The 20953-nt window shown below is 38.4% G+C and overlaps 1 protein-coding gene across 11 annotated transcripts in view, besides 2 other annotated features; it reads left to right on the top strand.

Moving 5' to 3' along the window:
* Nucleotides 1–19875, top strand: part of KATNBL1 (katanin regulatory subunit B1 like 1) — a 69423-nt gene extending 49548 nt beyond the window's left edge. For 7 of the 11 annotated variants that reach the window (NM_024713.3, XM_017022571.3, XM_047433037.1 and 4 more), the window contains 8 exons: nucleotides 5865–5905; nucleotides 7480–7759; nucleotides 11799–11917; nucleotides 13119–13169; nucleotides 13260–13349; nucleotides 13699–13788; nucleotides 15058–15151; nucleotides 18178–19875. In NM_024713.3, the coding sequence (NP_078989.1) occupies nucleotides 5865–5905; nucleotides 7480–7759; nucleotides 11799–11917; nucleotides 13119–13169; nucleotides 13260–13349; nucleotides 13699–13788; nucleotides 15058–15151; nucleotides 18178–18210 (798 nt within the window). In that variant the 3' untranslated portion in view covers nucleotides 18211–19875. Of the gene's footprint in view, nucleotides 1–5864; nucleotides 5906–7479; nucleotides 7760–11798; nucleotides 11918–13118; nucleotides 13170–13259; nucleotides 13350–13698; nucleotides 13789–15057; nucleotides 15152–15296; nucleotides 15581–18177 lie in introns of those variants that run through there. The other 4 variants (XM_005254668.5, XM_047433040.1, XM_017022575.3 and 1 more) reach the window with 2 other exon arrangements.
* Nucleotides 4981–6180: an enhancer, noted in NCBI's record as "P300/CBP strongly-dependent group 1 enhancer chr15:34446570-34447769 (GRCh37/hg19 assembly coordinates)". NCBI's record gives its function as "activates an origin of replication core promoter dependent on BRD2, BRD4, P300/CBP, MED14 and CDK7 cofactors, with strong dependence on P300/CBP, by STARR-seq in HCT116 cells {active_cell/tissue: HCT116}" and the evidence as "EXISTENCE:reporter gene assay evidence [ECO:0000049][PMID:35650434]".
* Nucleotides 5655–5855: a silencer, noted in NCBI's record as "peak2291 fragment used in MPRA reporter construct". NCBI's record gives its function as "represses an SCP1 promoter by STARR-seq MPRAs in K562 erythroleukemia cells {active_cell/tissue: K562}" and the evidence as "EXISTENCE:reporter gene assay evidence [ECO:0000049][PMID:32103011]".
* Nucleotides 19876–20953: the final 1078 nt, after the last annotated feature.

The raw sequence follows: 20953 nt of genomic DNA, 5'->3' as shown, positions 1-20953 counted from the left end.
GAAAGACCTGTAAAATTCCTAAAAAGACTCAAAGAGCAAATGAGAAAATATGCAGGTCTAGAATTAGAAGACCCCCCCAGATGAAGGATGTTAAAGCTTCATTTTGTAACTAATAGTTGGCCAGATATTAACAAGAAATTACAAAAGATAGAGAACTGGGAAGGCAGATCTATAGAAGAGCTTCTAAGAGAAGCCCAAAAAGTATATGTAAGAAGAGATGAAGAGAAAAGCAGAAGGCAAAAATTCTGCTGTCCACCATACAACAAAGTATCCATGGGGCCAGAACCTGTAAGGAAGCTAGACCCCCGCTCTCCAGGCAATATGAAGGGTACAAAAGAGTAAAGCCAGGAGGCTCAAAGGTAGAAAAGAAAAAAGGACAGAACGAATGTTTCAAATGTGGAAAATTAGGTCACTTTAAAAGAAAATGTCCCGAATGAGAAAAGGAAGAAAAAGTCATGCCACTTAGAGCTTTTGAGGAAGACTAGGGAAGTCAGGGGCTATATCTTTTTTTATCTTGAGTCCCACCAACAGCCCTTGATAAATTTACAAGTGGGACCTAAATTTGAGCTTATTACCTTTTTAATCAACTCAGGAGCAGCTCGCTCCTCAGTTTGTTACTTTCCATCTAGTGTAACTTGTTCACAAGAAGAACTTTTTATCTCAAGGGTAAAAGGAGAAGGGTTTAGAGCAAAACTCTTAGAGGAGACACAAGTGAAATATAAAAACTGATCAGCTAGTATCAAATTTATTAATTCCGGATGCAGGGACAAATCTATTAAGAGAATTAATTCTAAAATTAGGCTTAGGCCTCCAAATCAATCATGGAAAATTCCTCCCCTTCCTAAACTTGCTCACCACCACAGACAAAGAACACATTCATCCCAAGGTATGGTCAAAAGATGGGAATCAAGGAAGGTTACAGATTCCTCCAATTCATGTTAAAATTAAAAAACCCTAGGGAAATGTAAAGAGAAAGCAACACCCTATTCCTTTAAAAGCCAGGGTAAATTTAAAACCTATAATTGAAGGTCTTCTCCATGATGAGCTTCTTGAACCCTGTATGTCTCCCTATAACACTCCAATACTGCCTGTAAAGAAGCCAGACAGGTCATACCAGTTAGTGTAAGACCTTAGAGCTATTAATCAGATAGTCCAAACCACCCACCCTGTTGTTACTAGTAACTGTCCCCATCCTAGCTTTACCTTCCCCTAGAACTGCCTTTTCATCTCTTTGTCAATGTAAACAAAACAGTAGCCTTAGGAGTACTCACTCAAAAACACGGGGGCCACCGGCAGCCCATAGCCTTTTTGTCAAAAATTCTTGACCCTGTAATCTGAGGGTGGCCTAAATGTATTCAATCTGTAGCAGCAACAGCCCTATTAACAGAAAAAAAAGAAAAAATTAACTTTTAGAAGGAACTTCATTGTCAGTACACCTCACCAAGTCAAAACTATCCTTAATCAGAAGGCAGAAAGGTGGCTTATTGAATCAATAATTTTAAAATACGAAGCTATCCTGTTAGAGAGCGTTGATTTAACACTAACCACTGATAATTCGCTTAACCCAGCAGGTTTCCTGACTGAGAATCCAAATTTAAAGAGACCTGAGCATGAGTGTTCAGATTTAATTGTCATACTAAAGTCAGACCTGATTTAAGAAAGACCCCTTTCAAATGGGGCAGCACTTATTTATAGATGGCTCTTCCTGGGTAATTGAAGGAAAAAGACATAATGGGTACTCAGTAGTCAATGGGGAACTCCTTGCAGAAGTAGAGTCAGGAATACTACTCAGTAATTGGTCTGCCCAAACATGTAAATTGTTTGCATTAAATCAAGCCTTTAAAGCATCTGCAGAGCCAAGAAAGGACTATTTATATTGATTTCAAAGATGCCTTCTGGGTAGCTCACACCTTTGAAAAAAAAAAAATTGGAGCAAACAAGGTCTTCAAAGGCCAAGACCTGGTCCACAAGAATTAATCACTCAAGTATTAGATAACCTCCAGTTGCCAGAAGAAATAGCTGTTGTCCATGTCCCAGGACATCAAAGAGATATCTCTTTTGAAAGCTGGGGGAACAACCTTGCAGATCAAATAGCCAAACAAGCTGCCATTTCCTCTGAAATGCCTGTTTTTCACTTAACCCCTTGCCTTCTTCCCCCAACTGCAGTTCCCATCTTCTTTCCCACTGAAAAAGAGAAATTAATAAAAATAGGGGCCAAAGAAAATTCAGAAGAGAAATGGGTGTTACCAGACCAAAGAAAAATGTTATCCAATTCCCTTATGAGAGACCTCTCTCATCTGCATCAAGAGACTCATTGGGGACCTCAAGCTATGTGTGATGCAGTCCTTTGGGTTTATGGATGTGTAGCAATTTACACTTTGACATGACAGGTTACAGATAGTTGCCTAGTATTTAGGATGACTAATAAGCAGACCCTCAGAAAACCACCTCTTAGGGGAAGGTATCTGGAATTAAGACTGTTCCAAAGTATCCAAGTTGATTACGCCAAGATGCCCCAAATTGGTTGTCTAAAATATTTATTAGTAATAGTAGATCACCTTACTCATTGGGTAGAAGCTATTTCCTTTCAAGTGCAACTGCTAATAATGTAGTCAAAACATTAGTTGAAAATATTATACCCAGGTTTGGATTAATAGGAAACATTGATTCAGATAATGGAACTCATTTCATTGCACATGTCATTAAGAAATTAGCCCAGGTACTGGATATAACATGGGAAATCATACTCCCTGGCACCCACCTTCATCAGGAAGAGTGGGGAAAAAAATGAACCAAACTCTAAAAAGCCACTTAAGCAAATTAGTCTTAGAGACTCGGTTGCCATGGACTAGATGCCTTCCCATTGCCCTGTTGAGAATCCGAACTGCTCCTCAGAGAGATGTTGGCTTATCCCCTTATGAAATGTTGTGTAAGTTGCTCTATTTGCACTCCGCTGCTGACATTCCCATGTTCGAAACAAAAGATCAGTTTCTCAGAAATTATATACTTAAGTTTATCTTCCACTTTCTCTTGCCTCAGAACTAAAGGTCTTTTAGCACAGGCACCACCCCTAGAGTTTCCAGTACACCAACATCAGCCTAGGGACCACATCCTTGTCAAAAGTTGGAGGGAAGGAAAACTTGAACCAGCTTAGGAAGGACCCTGCCTAGTGCTTCTAACCATTGAGACCACAGTTCAAACAGCAGAAATGGGATGGACTCATCACACCCAGGTCAAAAGAGCACCACCTCCTCCAGAATCATGGGCAGCTATTCTAGGGCTTACTCTAACCAAGCTAAAGCTAAAACGGGTTTGATCCTCTTATGTTGCATCTCTTCTTTTCCCCATCTATTGCTAGTCCTCTTGTTATTAATGTAACTAGGTCGAGTTCACCCCAAACTATTACCTTTGATGCTTGCCTTGTGATGCCCTGTGGAGATGTGCCAAGCCAGAGGCAACTCTCCACTTCAGAAAAGTATCTTTGTCCTTCCTAGCTCTTCTCAGACTGGAATTCTGTTAACTGGGATAAGTTAGCTTGGGAAGAGTTTGACGGAGATTCCAGTATAAACTGAGAGTCTTGCCTTCCCAATACAAAGCTTTTATGCTGTAGTTGGTCCAACATTCTGTGGACCACTAAAGAGCAAGAATAGATTGCCCCAAGCAGTAGTTGTAATTTCCTAAAGCTATACATTCATTTTACTAAAGGAACAGCTTCCCCTAACTGTCAGCTAAATCAGTACAATCCAGTACAGGCTATTATCTCAAACCCTCTAAGTTCTTCCCCTTCTCTAAGCCAATTTCCTTCTTTAAGCCAGTTTTATAATATGGGGGCTGAGGTTTCAGGAGCAGACCCTATCAGATCCTTTGAAATATTCTTCATTGCTCCCCCACCGCCTACACCTTCCCCTAAGCCTTCTTCCAGAACCTCCCACAACAAAACTGTTGTTCTTCCTCCATCTAATGACAAGACGAAGGTAGCTATTGTAGAAGTCAAAGTCCTAAAAGAAACTTTAGCAATTGAGACGGGATATCAAAATGCCAATGCCTGGTTAGAATAGATAAAATATTTCATCCGCACTTTAAACAAAAGCAATTGTTATGCTCGTGCGCATGGCAGGCCAGAGGGCCAGATTGTCCCCTTTCCACTATGATGGTCCTCCAGTCAACCAGGCATGGGCTGTATGGTAGCTCTTTTTCCAGGATTCCACAGCCTGGGGTAACAAGTCGTGCCAAGCTCTTTCTCTGCTATATCCCGAAGTTCAAGACCCCACAGGTTAGCCCCCGAGGGCCATCCAGCTTCTGTCTCCCGACACTGAGTTCATTTTGTGTCTCTCACGACAAAGAGGAAACTTAGCATCCCTTAGAGACCTAAAAGGATGCGGTGAGCTTAAGACTTTCCAAGAGCTCACCAACCAGTCAGCCCTTATACACCCCCGAGCAGATGTATGGTGATATTGTGGTAGACCTTTGCTGGACACTCTGCCTAGTAACTGGAGTGTCACTTGCGCCCTAGTGCAGTTGGCTATCCCTTTCACCCTGGCATTTCATCAACCAGAGAAAGAAAAAAACACAATGTCATAAAGCAAGGGAAGCCCCTTATGGGTCTTTCGACTCCCACATTTATTTAGATGCAATTAGAGTCCCACGAGGAGTACCAAATAAATTTAAGACCTGAGATCAAATAGCTGCTGGATTTGAGTCAATATTTTGGTGGGTGACAATTAATAAAAACGTAGATTAGATAAATTCCACCTATTACAACCAACAGCGGTTTATTAACTATACTAGAGATGCTGTTAAAGGAATAGCTGAGCAATTAGGGCTTACTAGCCAGATGGCTTGGGAAAATAGAATGGCCTTAGACATGATTTTAGCAGAAAAAGGGGAAGTTTGCATCATGATTAAAACTCAGTGTTGTACCTTCATCCCAAACAATACCGCCCCTGATGAAAGTATAACAAAGGCATTGCAAGGTCTAACTGCTCTGTCCAATGAGTTAGCAAAAAACTCAGGAGTAAATGACCCCTTCACAGGGTGGCTAGAAAAATGGTTTGGTAAATGGAAAGGGATCACAGCCACCATCCTTACTTCTCTTGCAATTGTAGCAGTAGTGCTTATCCTTGTTGGATGCTGCATCATACCTCGCATCCGTGGGCTAGTCCAAAGACATACAGAAACAGCCCTTACTAAAACTTCTCTCAGTTCCCCTCCACCATATTCTGACAAGCTCTTTCTTTTAGAAAACCAAGCAGAACAGCTATGCCAAGACATGTTAAAGAAATTTGAAGAGGAAGACCTGTAAAATTCAAAAGGGGGATATTGTTAAGTACAGTGAGTTCTGAGTTCCTCTGGGAACCAGTATGTCAGTATGTTCAGCTTTCTTATACTTTGTTCTCCATTTTAAAGTTTAACTTCCTCATTCTTTACACCTCCTTGCCCTAGTTTCAGTAAACAACCCCCTTCTAGCCTTTATACTCACATATTTAGAGTCCTTAGTCATCCTTAGTCACCTGCTCTGTCCTTAGTCATCCTTAGTCACCTGCACTGTAACCATCCTTCCTGCCTAAACTGCTCACCCCGCCACTCTGCCTCATACCCAGATAGCCTATCAGAATTAGTTTAGACTGTGCGGTCCAACCCTAGCCAATAGGGGAATGACACAGTAGTAGGGACTAGCTGCATTAGGGATAAGAACCCCTTCTCCTCCCATGCCCGGTATGCTCTTGCGACCACTCCAGGCACGATTGGCACCCTTCTGCAGAAGTAAATTGCCTTGCTGAGAAAGCTTTTTGCCGGAGTGCTGATTCTTCTTTGCGGCACCAAGCATTTGTTTCTAACATCAACTATCTACTTTCATTTTTCAGGTTAAGAAATCTCCAAAACAGTTGGCTGCTTACATAAATAGGTAAGAGTTTCTTTAAAGTTTGTGGGGAACAACAAATATGAAAGCTGGGTAAGGATGACAATAAGGGAAAAATAAGCATTCTTTTATCATAATAATAATTAACTTATTGTCAAACAGCTTCTTTATGCCAGTATCTGCACTAATAAACACATCAATATTGTCTCTGCTCCTTACAACAGTCCTACTCTATAGCCTACTCTATAGATAACATTAACCCTAACAGTTGATGAGAAAACTTAAGATCAGATAAGTTAAATGATTTGTTCAGAATCATATAGCTAGAAAAGTGGTAAGAATGACATTCATTCTCAGATCTGCCTAACTTCTAAAGGCACTTTCTACAAAACGACTGGTTTTCAAAGTGTGATTTGAGGACCTGCGGGTCCCTAAAGACCATTCATGGAATTTGTGAAGTCAGAATTACTTCCATAGCAATACTAAGACATTGACTGTCTTCATTTTCATTCTCTTGTTTGAGGGTACAATATAATTTTTCAAGAAGCTATATGCCATTTGATATCACAGTAGATTGAATGGAGAAGCAGAAATGAGAACCCAGCTGTCTTTTGTTAAACCAGATATTAGAGATATATAAAAATGTAAAACAGTACCATTCTTCTCACTTTTTAAAAAATTATTTTAGAAAATATGGGTTTTGGGTAAGATATTCCATGTTAATATGTAATTAGTCTTTTTTTGAATGAATTAACAAATGATTTAAATTTTGTTTTAGTTTTTACACAGTAAATATCAATAGATACTATTCACATAAAAATTATTTTGGCCATGGCTCACACCTGTATTCCCAGCACTTTAGGAGGCCAAGGTGGGTGGATCATGAGGTCAAGAGATCAAGATCATCCTTGCCAACAGGGTGAAACCCTGTCTCTACTAAAAATACAAAAGTTAGTTCAGCATGGTGGCGCGCGACTGTAGTCCCAGCTACTCAGGAGGCTGAGGCAAGAGAATCACTTGAACCTGGGAGGTGGAGGTTGCAGTGAGCTGAGATTGTGCCACTGCACACTAGCCTGGCAACAGAGAGAGACTGCATCTCAAAAAAAAAAAAAATTTTTGAGTCATTAATTATTTTTAAGAGAGCAAAGCATCGTGACACTAAAACGTTTGAGAACCACTGTATTAAACGATGAGGCTTGCTCTATCGTGTTCTTACTCAAATAAATCAATATACTTCAGCTTAATTAAATTTTAAAATATTCACACTTGCAGTCTTATTTGCCACTTTGTTAGAAAAAGATCAGGTTTCTAGAAAATGTTGTGGTCTTCTTACTCCCAGAATGGCCTTTAATATTTCATTTTTAAAAGCATTCTGGTTATTATGTCTGTCTTCATTTTTATTTGGCATAAAATGTCATCCTTTACATTGTCTTCCAGATAATTTGTAATTTCCCTTTTACTTTTCTCTTCAACTCAGAATTAAGATTTTTAAAATTCTATTTATTTCTAATTTTAGTGGATTACAATCACCAAATATAGCCTATTAATTCTCTGTTTAAAAACTTTTAAAGGATTTCATATGGTTCTTTTTCATTTAAGAAAATAAATTCTTTTTACAGAACAGTTGGACAAACTGTGAAAAGCCCAGATAAACTTCGTAAAGTGATCTATCGCAGAAAGAAAGTTCATCATCCCTTTCCAAATCCTTGTTACAGAAAAAAACAGTCCCCTGGAAGTGGGGGCTGTGACATGGCAAATAAAGAAAATGAACTGGCTTGTGCAGGCCACCTGCCTGAAAAATTACACCATGATAGTCGAACATATTTGGTTAACTCCAGTGATTCTGGTTCTTCACAGACAGAAAGCCCATCATCAAAATATAGTGGGTTTTTTTCTGAGGTAAGTCTTTTCTCTAACTCATATCTAGTTTAACTTTGTTCCTGTTATAATCTTGATTTTTTTCTTTGCCATATTCCACTAGCAGAATAATTTGTCACCTATTGAATGTAGACTTATTTGAGTCATAGTAACTCCCTGAGACAATTTTCTAGATTAACCAAATTTGAATTAATAATTTATTCCATTTCTCTAAGATGGGATGAAATGCTTAGCAGGCTGCTAAAACTATCCAGAATGACAAGTTAGCCAGTAGAGATTTAAAGGAAGGGAAAAGGAGAAATCTTGCCTAAAAAAGTGGAGCACTAGGCCGGACACAGTGGCTCACGCCTGGAGCCCGAGGTGGGTGGATCACGAGGTTAGGCGTTTGAGACCAGCCTGGCCAACATGGTGAAACCCTGCCTCTACTAAAAATACAAAAATTAGCCGGGCATGGTGGGGGGCGCCTGTAATCCCAGCTACTCAGAAGGAGGCTGAGACAGGAGAATCGCTTGAACCCGGGAGGCAGAAGTTGCAGTGAGTTGAGATCACACCATTGCACTCCAGCCTGGGCAACAGAGCGACTCCGTCTCAAAAAAATAAAAATAAAAAGGACAACATCTGCAGGCAGATCACCTGAGGTCGGGAGTTCGAGGCCAGCCTGGGCAACATGGTGAAACACCCTGTCTCTACAAAAGTACAAAAATGAGCCGGGCATGATGGTGGGTGCCTGTAATCCCAGCTGCTTGGGAGGCTGAGGCAGAAGAATCACTTGAACCTGGGAGGCAGAGGTTGCAGTGAGCCGCGATCATTCCATTGCACTCCAGCCTGGGCAAGAGAGCAAGACTCCATCTCAAAAAAAAAAAAAAAAGTGGACCACCGAAGCCAGTTATCCAGACACATTTTGCCGGGCTCTCAATATTGCCTGGTTAAAGCATAGTTCAGGCAAACCTGCTGTGGTTTGCTGCTCTTCTGGCTCAAGCAAAACTGGTTAACAGACTCAAAAGCGTTTTTGAGAGTGATAGAAATATTCTAAAACTGGGCCTGGCCAACATGGCGAAACCTCATCTCTACTAGAAATACAAAAATTAGCTAGGCATGGTGGCACACTTTGGGAGGCCAAGGCAGGTGGTCAGGAGTTCAAGACTCGCCTGGCCAACATGGCAAAACCCCATCTTTACCAAAAATACAAAAATTACCCAGGCGTGGTGGTGCACGCCTGTAATGCCAGCTACTTGGGAGGCTGACGCTCAAGAATTGCTTGAACCCGGGAGGCAAAGGTTGCAGTGAGCCAAGATCTTGTCACTGCACTCCAGCCTGGGTTACAGAGTGAGATTCTGTCTCAAAAAAAAAAAAAAAAAAAAAAAAAAAAAAAAAGTAGGCAAAGGACACAATAGACACTTTTCAAAAGAAGACATACATGTAGGTGACAAGCATATGAAAAAATGCTCAGCCTAAATGCTAAACCTAAAATCACTCATCATTAGAGAAATGCAAATCAAAACCACAACAGGATATCATCTCATACCAGTTAGAATGGCTATTATTAAAAAGTCAAAAAATAATAGATTCTGGCAAGGTTGTGGAAAAAGAACACTTATACAATGCTGGTGACAATGTAATTTAGTTTCAGCCATTGTGAAAGCAGTGCGACAATTTTTCAAAGAACTTAAAACAATCTTATTATTGGATATATACCCAAAGGAATATAAAACATGCTACCATAAAGACACATGTATGCGTATGTTCATCACAGCACTGTTCACAATAGCAAAGACAAGGAATCAATCGAAATGCCCATCAATGGTAAACTGGATAAAGAAAATATGGTGCATATACACCATGGAATACTATATGCAGCCATAAAAAGAACAAGATCATGTCATTTGCAATCACGAGTGAACCTGGAGGCCATTATCCTAAGCGAACTAATACAGGAACAGAAAACCAAATGCTTCATGTTCTCAGTTGGAGTGGGAGCTAAACACTGTGCTAGTGCATATGGACACAAAGATGGGAACAACAGACATGAGGCCTACCTTAGGGTAGAGGGTGAGAAGAGAGTTAGGATCAAAAAACTACTTATCAGTTACTATGCTTATTACCTGTGTGATGAAATAATCTGTACACCAAACCCCCACAACATGCAAACTACCTATATAACAAACCTGCACATGTGCCCCTGAACATAAAATAAGTTTGTTTTGTTTTGTGTTTTGAAACAGGGTCTCTCGCTCTATCACCCAGGCTGGGGTGCAGTGGTGCAATCTTGGCTCACTGCAACCTTCACCTCCCAGGTTCAAGCAATCCTCCCACCTCAGTCTCCAGAGTAACTGGGACTACAGGCATGTGCCACCACACCCAGCTGATTTTTGTATTTCCTATAGCGACAGGGTTTTGCCATGCTCCCCAGGTTGGTCTCGAACTACTGAGCTGAAGCGATCAACCTGCCTCAGCCCCAGCCCAAAGTGCTGGGATTACAGGTGTGAGCCACTGTGCCTGGCCAGAATAAAAGTTCTTTTTAAAAAGTTTCAGTTGTGCATTTTAAAAACTACCCCAGTGAGACATCTTTCTCAAGAACCTCTTTTTACTTTACATTCTCATTTTCACTACTTTTCACTAAACCTTACATTTAACTAATAGGTTTAATGATTATTCTTGTTTCATACCTGTTTTCTTGATTGACCAGTACCTGCTCTAAAAACCTAAATCTGAAAGTGATACCATAACATCTTAGCCAAGTTAAAATACATATAACCATTGACCTAGCTGTTCCAATTGTAAAATTAATTTTAACAAAAGTGTCTGTACAAGTGCACATATTTACATATATCAGGATGTCCACTCATCAGTTTTGATAGGTAAAAACCAGAATCTAAATAAATTATGGTATGTAAAGACTAGAGAATATGCTATTGTTTTTTGTTGTTGTTTTTAAGAGATGAGGTCTCACTGTCTCACTGTCTTTCCCAGGCTGGACTCAAACTCCTGAGCTCAAGTGGTTCTCCCACCTCAGGTTCCCAAGTAGCTGGGACTGTAGGCACACAGCACTATGCCAGGCTATGCTGTTGTTCTTTAAAAGTAAAGTTGGGCTTGGTGTGGCGGCTCATGCCTGTAATCCCAGCACTTGGGAGGCCAAGGCAGGCGGATCATGTGAGGTCAGGAGTTGGAGACCAGCTTGGCCAACATGGCAAAACCCCATCTCTACTAAAAATAGGAAAATTAGTTGGGTGTTGTGTTGGGTGCCTGTAATCCCAGCTACTCGGGGAGGGTGAGGCAGGAGAATTACTTGAGCTTGGGAGGCGGAGGTTGCAGTGAGCTGAGATTGCACCACTGCACTCCAGCCTAGGCAACAGAGCAAGACCCTGTCTCCAAAAAAAAAAAAGCTTGATCTGTGTTTTGACATTGAAAAATGTTCATATAGGTAAAAAAGCAAGGTTTTGAACAATATAGGTAATTAATTTTTCAGAGTGTTTATATGTGTACTTAATTTGTCTTTGTCTAGAAAATGGTCTGGAAAGATACATATCAGTCTGTTAACTGTGATTATTTCTGCGGAGTGATATTGGATGTTTTTGTGGGCAGGCAGAGAGTTTTTACTTTTTATCTTACATAGTTCTGTGTTAAACACATTAGAACAGGAAAATGACACTTCATTACTTAACAATAAATAGATAAATTTAAATGATACTACAACACTTGTCAAAAACTGAGTTTTTGTGATTCTCCTGCCATTCAGTTGGTAATGACTAGCCTACATGTTTACATTTTTCTTTTATCCATGTTATAAATTAAGTCCTAGTTTATAGGTCAGCTAAAAATAATTTTATAAATTATTGGGTTTTAAAAGAAAAATGGTAGCTAGTGAAAAGTATAAATGGGTCTTAAATTTGTTCAGATCATTTGTTTACTGTGGTCAACTGCAGTATTCCTTTTTGTGGGCTAGTAAAAGGAGTTACTTTTGCATGATTTTTAACTATGTCTACCAGAACGATTTAATAAAAAAATAGTTTCATACCCTGTTTCAGTGTGCTTTTTAACAAATCAGATTATTGCCTTTCAGGTTTCTCAGGACCATGAAACAATGGCCCAAGTTTTGTTCAGCAGGAATATGAGATTGAATGTAGCTTTAACTTTCTGGAGAAAGAGAAGTATAAGTGAACTTGTAGCTTATTTGTTGAGGTAAGTGTGACCTTTTATCCTCTTTGTTCAATCACTTTTTTTCTGAGACAAGTTCTTGCTTTGTCATCCAAGTTGGAGTACAGTGGCACAATCATGGCTCACTGCAGCCTCAACCTGCTGAGTTCAAGCAGCCCTCCCACCTCAGCCTCCTGAGTAGCTGAGAGTACAGGTGCACATCACCACACCTGGCTATTTTTTAAAAAAATTTTTTGGAAGACATGAGGTCTTATGTTTCCCGGGCTGGTCTCGAACTCCTGAGCTCAGGTGAACCTTCTTCATTATTCTAAACTGCCTATATGTAGCTTCAGTAGAGACAGTATGGCTTAAATTACATTCCTCACCCATCTAAGAGTAACCAAAATACAGAAAACAATGTTTTATCAGATTGAACAAAGCTGTTACCTTTCCTGACTGTCATTCTTACCTATAAAACTAAGAGATAACGATATGGGAAAACTAACCTTCTAAAAATCCCTTTTGAGGCCAGGTGTGGCAGTTCTTGCCTATAATCCCAGCATTTGGGAAGGTTGAGGTGAGAGAGTCCCTTGAGCCCAGGAGTGAGAGACTGAGCAACATAGCAAGACTCCATCTCTACAAAAAATAAAAATAATAAGCCAGGCACAGTGGTACGTGCTTGTGGTCCCAGATACTTGGGAAGATCACTTTGAACCCAGGAGTTGGAGGTTGCAGTAAGCTGTGATTATGCAACTACATTCCAGCCTGGGCAACCGAATGAGACCCGTTTCTTAAAAAAAAAATTACTAAAAATAAAAAGTAAACATCCCTTTTGAGTGGGAATTTGAAGCATTACTTTCCTCATTGTATTCAAGTCTCTCAGATGTTACCTTAGGGAAGCCTTCTTTGACCAACTTATTTTAAAATACCTATTTCTCCACTCCCTATCTCGCTTTCCTGTTTTATTTTTCTCCATAGCACTTATATCAACCTGCTCTATATGTCTTATGTCTTGTTATTTGTTTATTGCCTGTCTCTGTCCCACCCCCCAACCCCCACAGTTGCTCACACACTGGAATACAAGCCCTGTGTCTTTGTTCATTGCTGTATCCACAGACATGACTCATTGTAGATACTGACATTGTTAAATGAATGAATTTCTCAAAAGCGGTGTGAATAATCATAATATGAAAGTAAATAAGGAAATCAGCTCTCTAAGGCAATGCTATTCTTTTTATACTCTCAGGATAGAAGATCTTGGCGTTGTGGTAGATTGCCTTCCTGTGCTCACCAATTGGTAAAAACAATATTTTTCAGAAAAAAAATAAGATTAAAGGAGGTCAAATTATGGCCCATCCATATTTTTATAACTTGGTATTTATTTTAGTTTACAGGAAGAAAAACAATATATCTCACTTGGCTGCTGTGTTGACTTGTTGCCTCTAGTAAAGTCACTACTTAAAAGCAAATTTGAAGAGTAAGTGCTAATCTGAATCTTGATTCATTTTTCTTTTTCAGCATCCTTGATTTTGTGCTTTGTGAGTACATAGTAGATTGGGCTCCATGAGACATGCAAGGTTTCTGTTTTCAAGAAGCTAATAGTACAATTAGGAAAAGAATATGAAATGACTAAAGGACAATTATAAAAGCATCTCTAAACAAATTACATGAAATATACTTTTGTGTAATAGATCATGAAGGTAACAATTTTTTAAAAGGGAAGGGACCAATGTGTGTGTGTGTTTTTTGGGAGGGAAAGTATCATCTTTTATAAGAAGGGTTCTTAGATGAAAACACTTGAATTTTGTAACAAAATGTCATTTCAGATATGTTATAGTTGGTTTAAACTGGCTTCAAGCAGTCATTAAAAGGTGGTGGTCAGAACTATCATCCAAAACAGAAATTATAAATGATGGGTGAGTATACCTTTAAAGATAAACTCATGCTGAAATTTTCTTCAGGAAAGCAGCTTGATTAAACTAGGTAATAATTTTATCCCATTATCATCAGTGTATGGTATTTATTCTTTTTATATTCAGAGAGATACTAACTTAAGAGACTGTTCATTTGTGAAAACCACACCTGGAAATTGAATTCCAGAGCCTACTAACCTCCTGTATCTCTTCTTCTGGCACAACCCTACCCTTCATTTTAGAAGAAAAACACAATAGTGGTTTAATTCTCATATTCATTATGAGTAAGGGAGGAAAAAGAGATGCCCACAGTGTAATAAGGAATGGAGGCACCCTGCGGGGTCCTTTACCTAGACATTAACCTGAGAGTCCGGTGTTGATGTTTACAGTTCTAAAAACTGTATTATTACTGCCTTGATGTGAAAATTCGTGGGTATTCTACCAGAGTATAGCCAGATTATCATGAAACCACAGAAAAATATCTCCCAACAGTTTCCTTAAAGTCCATAATTTTGGGCCAGGCACGGTGGCTGATGCCTGTCTGTAATCCCAGCACTTTGGGAGGCCAAGAAGGGCAAATCACTTGAGCTCACAAGTTTGAGACAGCCTGGGCAACATGATGACATCCCGTCTCTACAAAAAATACAAAAATTAGCCAGGCATGGTGGTGTGCGCCTGTAGTCCCAGCTACTCAGGCTGAGGCAGGAGGATCGCTTGAGCCCAGGAGGTGGAGGTTGCAGTAAGCCGAGATGGCACCACTGCACTCCAGCCTGGGCAATAGAGCCAGCCCTTGTCTCAAAAAAAAAAAAAAAAAAAGCCACAATTTATTTTGTAGGCTCTCAAAATTTTCTACTTCACACCAAGGAATGTCCAAATGTTCCAAACGCCTGGTCATTTTCTTACCTGCTTTGACAACTAAATAACCTTTAATTTTCTTTTTTTTTTTAATTGAAATCAAGTAAGAAATTTTATTAATTTTGGAATTGAAAAAACATCCTTTGTTGTTTCCAAGAATTAATTAAATAGGAGGCATTTGGCGGTATTATGTGGATAAACCTTTAATTTTCATGACTGACATGTATTATTCTAAAAGTTATTTGATTTTTTTTTAATTTCTCTCCACGTTCCCAAATGTTTTATTTCAAATAGCATCATTTTCTCCTGAAAAATACCTGAAAAATTTTAGAACAGTTTTTATTATGCATATTTATGATGAAAGTTTGTATCTTAATGTATTTGCTTTCTCATTTTTCTTCCTTTTTTTTCTTTTAGAAATATTCAAATTTTAAAACAACAATTAAGTGGATTATGGGAACAGGAAAACCATCTTACTTTGGTTCCAGGATATACTGGTAATATAGCTAAGGTAATCTATATTTAAGCTTATAAATTAAACATTAAAAATTAGAAATAATATTTTACATTTATAAATTAATTTTCAAGTCTCTAGGCAAAATAATATGGTACTGTTCTAATGTCTAAAGTCAATTTCATATTTTCAAATGCTTCAGGTCCTCTGCGTGTAACTGTGACCTTGGCAGCAAGCACAGGAATTGGCCATTGAACATGTTTCATGTACAGCCCCTGAAATGCTATGCTAGAGGATATTTACAGAGGGTTTTAATCAGAGAAAAGTATTTGAAAAAATTTTGAGAATCCAATAAGGACAGCATCAGAAAACAAGACGAGGAACTCAGGAAACAAGGGATAAGAAACATAATTAAATGGTTTTGGAGATTAAGTTTTACTTTTGCTAATGTTATGCTTTTTGAGAAGGTAAACTATTTAAATCACAGTGAATTTGACTTTGGTCTTTATTGATTTGTCTCGTAAAGGAAAAAGTAAAAATTGCTAGTTTGAATTTTAATATTTAAACTCCAGAAAACATTGGTAGTTAGGCCGGGCACAGTGGCTTACGCCTGTAATCCTAGCACTTAGGGAGGCCAAGGCAAGCAGATCACCTGAGGTCAGGAGTTCGAGACCAGCCTGGTTGGTGAAACCCCGTTTCTACTAAAAATACAAAAAATTACCTGGGTGTGATGGCACGTGCCTGTAATCCCAGCTACTCGGGAGGCTGAGGCAGGAGAATCACTTGAACCTGGGAGGCGGAGGTTGTGGTGAGCTGAGATCGTGCCATTGCACTCCAGTTTGGGCAACAGAGTGAAACTCCGTCTCAAAAAAAAAAAAGAAAGAAAAAACATTAGTAGTTAAAAATTAATTGAAGAAAAAATTGTCATTAAGAAATACTTTTACTTTATTACCGGGCATACTGCTATCATAAATGGGCATTAGCCAGGAATATAAAAAGCATTCTTTGGTTTTAAAAATATATATATATATATATTTCTAAATAAGAGGATTTATGTCATGGACTTAGTTATAACATTTTTCTCGGAGACAAAACAACTTCTTAGAATTCAGGGGGAAAAAAATACAATGCTAAGGGAAACAGAGGCTTGGGCAAACCTAGGTAGCCTTGAGGGATAATCTGGCTTCTACTCCAAGATAAGTTCAGCTCTTACAGGAGACAGAAGCTTTCAGGGAATTAATGTAGCTGAGGGAAGAAAAGCAAATGGGAGTGATACCAACAGTGACCAACCAGAAGCTTATCTCCTGTCAAAGTGACAGCCACAGAGGAGCTCTGGCCATTGCTATGGAAGACCATGGCCCCTCTCCCAAAAAAAAAAATTTCTCAGATACCTTCAAAAAAAAGAAGCAAAATGATATATCAACCAAGTTTGTTACCACTGTGTGGGATTTTACTCTATAGAATTCTTTTTTTTTTTTTTTTTTTTTTGAGATGGAATCTCGCTCTGTCGCCCAGGCTGGAGTGTGGTGGCGCAATCTCGGCTCACTACAAGCTCCACCTCCCAGGTTCACGCCATTCTCCTGCCTCAGCCTCCCGATTAGCTGGGACTACAGGCGCCCACCACCATGCCTGGCAATTTTTTTTTTTTTTTTTTTTTTTTTGTATTTTTAGTAGAGACAGGGTTTCACCATGTTAGCCAGGATGGTCTTGATCTCTTGACCTCATGATCCACCTGCCTTGGCCTCCCAAAGTGCTGGGATTACAGGCGTGAGCCACTGCGCCTGGCCTATAGAATTCTTAATGATGAAAATCTTATGAACATATCAATCTCCTAGAAAGTTTTTGTTGTTGTTTTAGGTTTTTAGAGCATACATGACGTATTACCTTGCTCTAAAGGGTTGTTGCATTCTGTATAGAAGAACTAAAAAATGATTGTTCCTTATGACTGAAATTTGCTTTCAATCAGAATTTTTTTTGTTGTTTTTGTTTTGAGACTGAATCTCGCTCTGTCGTCCAGGCTGGAGTGCAGTGGCACAAGCTCAGCTCACTGCAACCTCTGCCTCCTGGGTTCAAGTGATTCTCCTGCCTCAGCCTCCCGAGTAGCTGGGATTACACACATGCCTGGCTAATTTTTGTATTTTTAGTGGAGACGGGATTTCACCACGTTGGCCAGGCTGGTTTCGAACTCCTGACCTCAAGTGACCCACCCACCTCCCCCTCCCAAAGTAATGGGATTACAGGCGGGAGCCACCACACCCGGCCACAATCAGTTTTTTACAAAGGGAAAAGCTTTATTGTGAATATGACTTTAAGGTACCATTTATTATTGGGGACAATATTGAGTGATTAAAAGTTCAATGCGAAGTTCCTTATGATGAGACTTTCTTACAAAATTAAACCATCAATTAATTTGTAATTTTTTGAGTATAGAAATTGAAAGAAGAGGGCCGGGCAAGGTGGCTCATGCCTGTAATCCCAGTACTTTGGGAGGCCAAGGTGGGCAGATCACGAGCTCAGGAGATCGAGACCATCCCGGCCAACATGGTGAAACCCCATCTCTACTAAAACACAAAAAATTAGCCGGGCGTGGTGGTGCACACCTGTAGTCCCAGCTACTTGGGAGGCTGAGGCTGGAGAATCACTTGAACCCTGGAGGTGGAGGTTGCAGAGAGCCAAGATCACGCCACTGCACTTCAGCCTGGTGACAGAGCAAGACTCTGTCTCAAAAAAAAGAGAAAGAAATTGAAAGAGGCTATTGTCAAGCTGGGCTCAAGTGAATATAGCACTGATAGTAAACAGCACTGATAGAATTTCTGTGAATGTTAGCTATGAAAGCAGAGTTGTTTGAGCATAGGAACCAACACATTCATTTAGCACTTAGCAAATATATATTGAGCACATACTATGTGCCAGGCCCTGTGCTGAACAAATGCAGATAAAAGCACTGAACAAGGCACGTCTTTTACCCTCAAAAGGTCACAAAAGGAAACTAAGGCAAATTAAGCAACAACAAAAAAAAATGGATTGTTTATGTTTGTATTTACTGTACTGTCTAATGAAATGTTTTTGTTTTATCTTCTAAGGATGTAGATGCTTATTTATTACAGTTACATTGAGAGATTTCATCTACTAAAGAGCATTTGGTTTTTCAAAACATCCCTGAACTGTATAATTTACAAAAAAAAAAAGTCTCGTCTGAGAACTGTGAACTGTGGAAGAAATCAAAACTATTTTTTCTTTTAAAAAGCCACGTAATGAAACCACTAATGAAATCCCAGCAATCTGCTTCACATTGAAGTGGAAAAATATCCAAAAGGAGCAGCTTCAATTTCATTGAGGTGAAAGTGCACTATGAAGATTGTTCACCTTTGCTGCATTTGGGAGTTATATGGTTATTTGGTAACATTAAGAACTACTGGATTTTAATGCAATCCTGCATAAAAATATAATTTATACTATGTGAAAAAATAAGACAGGACTTACCACTAGGAACCACCAAGACCAATCATCATTAACTTTTTTAAGATTGTGTTTTATTAAAAAAAAAAAACACTTAAATGTGTGCAGCTATTTTCTTATGTTGAAAAGACTGAAAGTTTAAAACATGAAAAAAATCAATATTAAACATTTTTTGTTCACACTGAGATACTGTGTATGTAAAATGCCTTAATTATTAATAAGCCAATGTGTTATGATACCAATATCTGTTTTAAAAAACTAAAACCAACCATGCTTCTGGCATGATAAAATCATGGAATTAAATCAGGGGTTTACATTCTTGTAGAGTGTTCTTGAAACACTCTCTGCACCATTTTTAAAACTTGAGAATAGTTTTAGTATCTCTGATATTTTTTGCCAGAATCATCATGTCATGTATGAATGTGTTATCCCTATCTAAGGAAAAAGGTGAATATGTTTTTGTATGAATGTTTAACTGGAAATGTCCATGGACTTGGCTAATTTATATTTACTTTTTATTGTACATAGATTTCTAATATTTTTCATTCCTGTATCATTTAAACTTCCTTCATTTGAGTAAATTCACTAAATATTTCTATTTTTTGCTTTTTTAAATTCTGATTTTATATGAATTCTAATTCTTTTTCACTACATATGTTTTAAAGAGTTACATACAGTGATTTAGAATGGTTTACAGTTAATGCTGATCTTGTATTTTAAATTCCAACACTTTGTGTCACTACCTCCTCTAATGGTTAGTATGATATGCTAGCAGACTGTATGAGGTCTTTTTTTAAAATACCACTTTTAGTGTCAGTGAACCAAATTCTGGAATGTCTTAACAGCTCTAAATCTTACTTGTCTTGAAAATGATTGGGGTTTAATACCACTGCTGGTGGTTCACACATCATCCCATCCTTAATATGCCTGACAGGCATCTGAGCAAAGGTTTTTAGTAATTGAATTTCTCTGCAGTAGTCCTTCAAGCACTTGAATGTAAACCTTTAGCATTTATTCGTTTAATGACTACTGATACGAATCTCAAGCAGATTTCTTGCTCTTAAAAGTTATGTTTCACTGAGTTCTGGTTTTGTGTAGCTATATTTTATATAGCTAGATATTCCTCACAGTGAACATGAATTGTAATAATTGGTTATTTCCTTAAGTCTTTAGATTATAATAATTTCAGATTATTGCACGTCTGTGATTTGAGAGGTGAGTTATTTAAGAGGCCAGTTTTCAGGACATGGGAATTTGAATTGTAAACCTGTTATCTCTGTGAAACTTTTAACATGATAAAATATAACCTTTCTTTGTGCTTATTCCTGTAGTTATCACTGTCTTATGTAGCAGTTTGAACCAGTTAACTTGGTTGGAGTATGGTGCTAAAGAGGCCGTGGACAGGAGTTTGATGCTTTTGTAGGTTCATTAACTTTACATACACACAAAATGTTTTTATAGCTGTCGATTGCACCTTCCGTCAGGTATCCATCTCAGAAATTCAGGAAGATGGTATGTATAGCTTAGCATAAACCTTTCGCCTCAAATGGAAAGATTACTCAATGGGTATATGTGATACTGTAGACTTTTAATCTAACATTTAAAATAATAGATTCAAAATAAGATATCTAAAATACTGTGTAATGTTTAGTTTCAAAGTATTAAGTAATATTACATCAGATATTTTTCACATTTTTCTCTGGGTCAGATCATTGACTAAACAGTATCTTCAAAAATCAAACTTCAATAAATCAGACTTCAGAAAAATTAAGTACAAATGACATATAGTAAGAACAGGTATTATCTTGGTAACATTTATACCTAAATTTAGGTTTTTTGAAGGCATGTAGATAATACTTTATCTTACATACTCAGAGCTATATAAGTCAGCAGAGTTTTTAGCTGACAAAGATTATTGAGTAGCATATACTCCTAATTTCTGTTCTTGGCCTTTGCAGTTTCCTTAGTACCTACCCCTCTCAGTTATTGAATTGATTAGTATTAAGTGATTTTTAAGATTCTTGGATAAATGATATTAGATAAATAAGTATTTTTGAACACTTGTGTTGCTATTAAGCCCTTTCATGCTACAGCATTTTAATTAGAACAGTGTTGATCTCCAGGAAGAGCCAAAGAGAGTGTTTACAAAGTTTTGGCTGTTGTATTGACCTAGATTAGGACAATTACTGTCTGTCATTGCTGATTTGTTGCTGTGCTGCTAAGGAGTATACAGAACTGACGGACTACCCAAGGTCTCTATGCCTTCTTAGTCCTTCTATCTTAGGTTTTCTATACTTGACTTTGCTAACTTTGCAAGTGTAGGGGCAGGTAGTTTATTGAGGTGATAGAGGGTTATCAGATAATTTGCTTCTACTTGGGACAAAGTGGATGAGTTTTGTA

The sequence above is a fragment of the Homo sapiens genome, chromosome 15 (assembly GCF_000001405.40).
Source record: "Homo sapiens chromosome 15, GRCh38.p14 Primary Assembly".
NCBI lineage: Eukaryota > Metazoa > Chordata > Mammalia > Primates > Hominidae > Homo > Homo sapiens.
The sequence above is the reverse complement of the archived record's forward strand: the minus strand, read 5'-3'. Positions and strand labels throughout refer to the sequence as shown.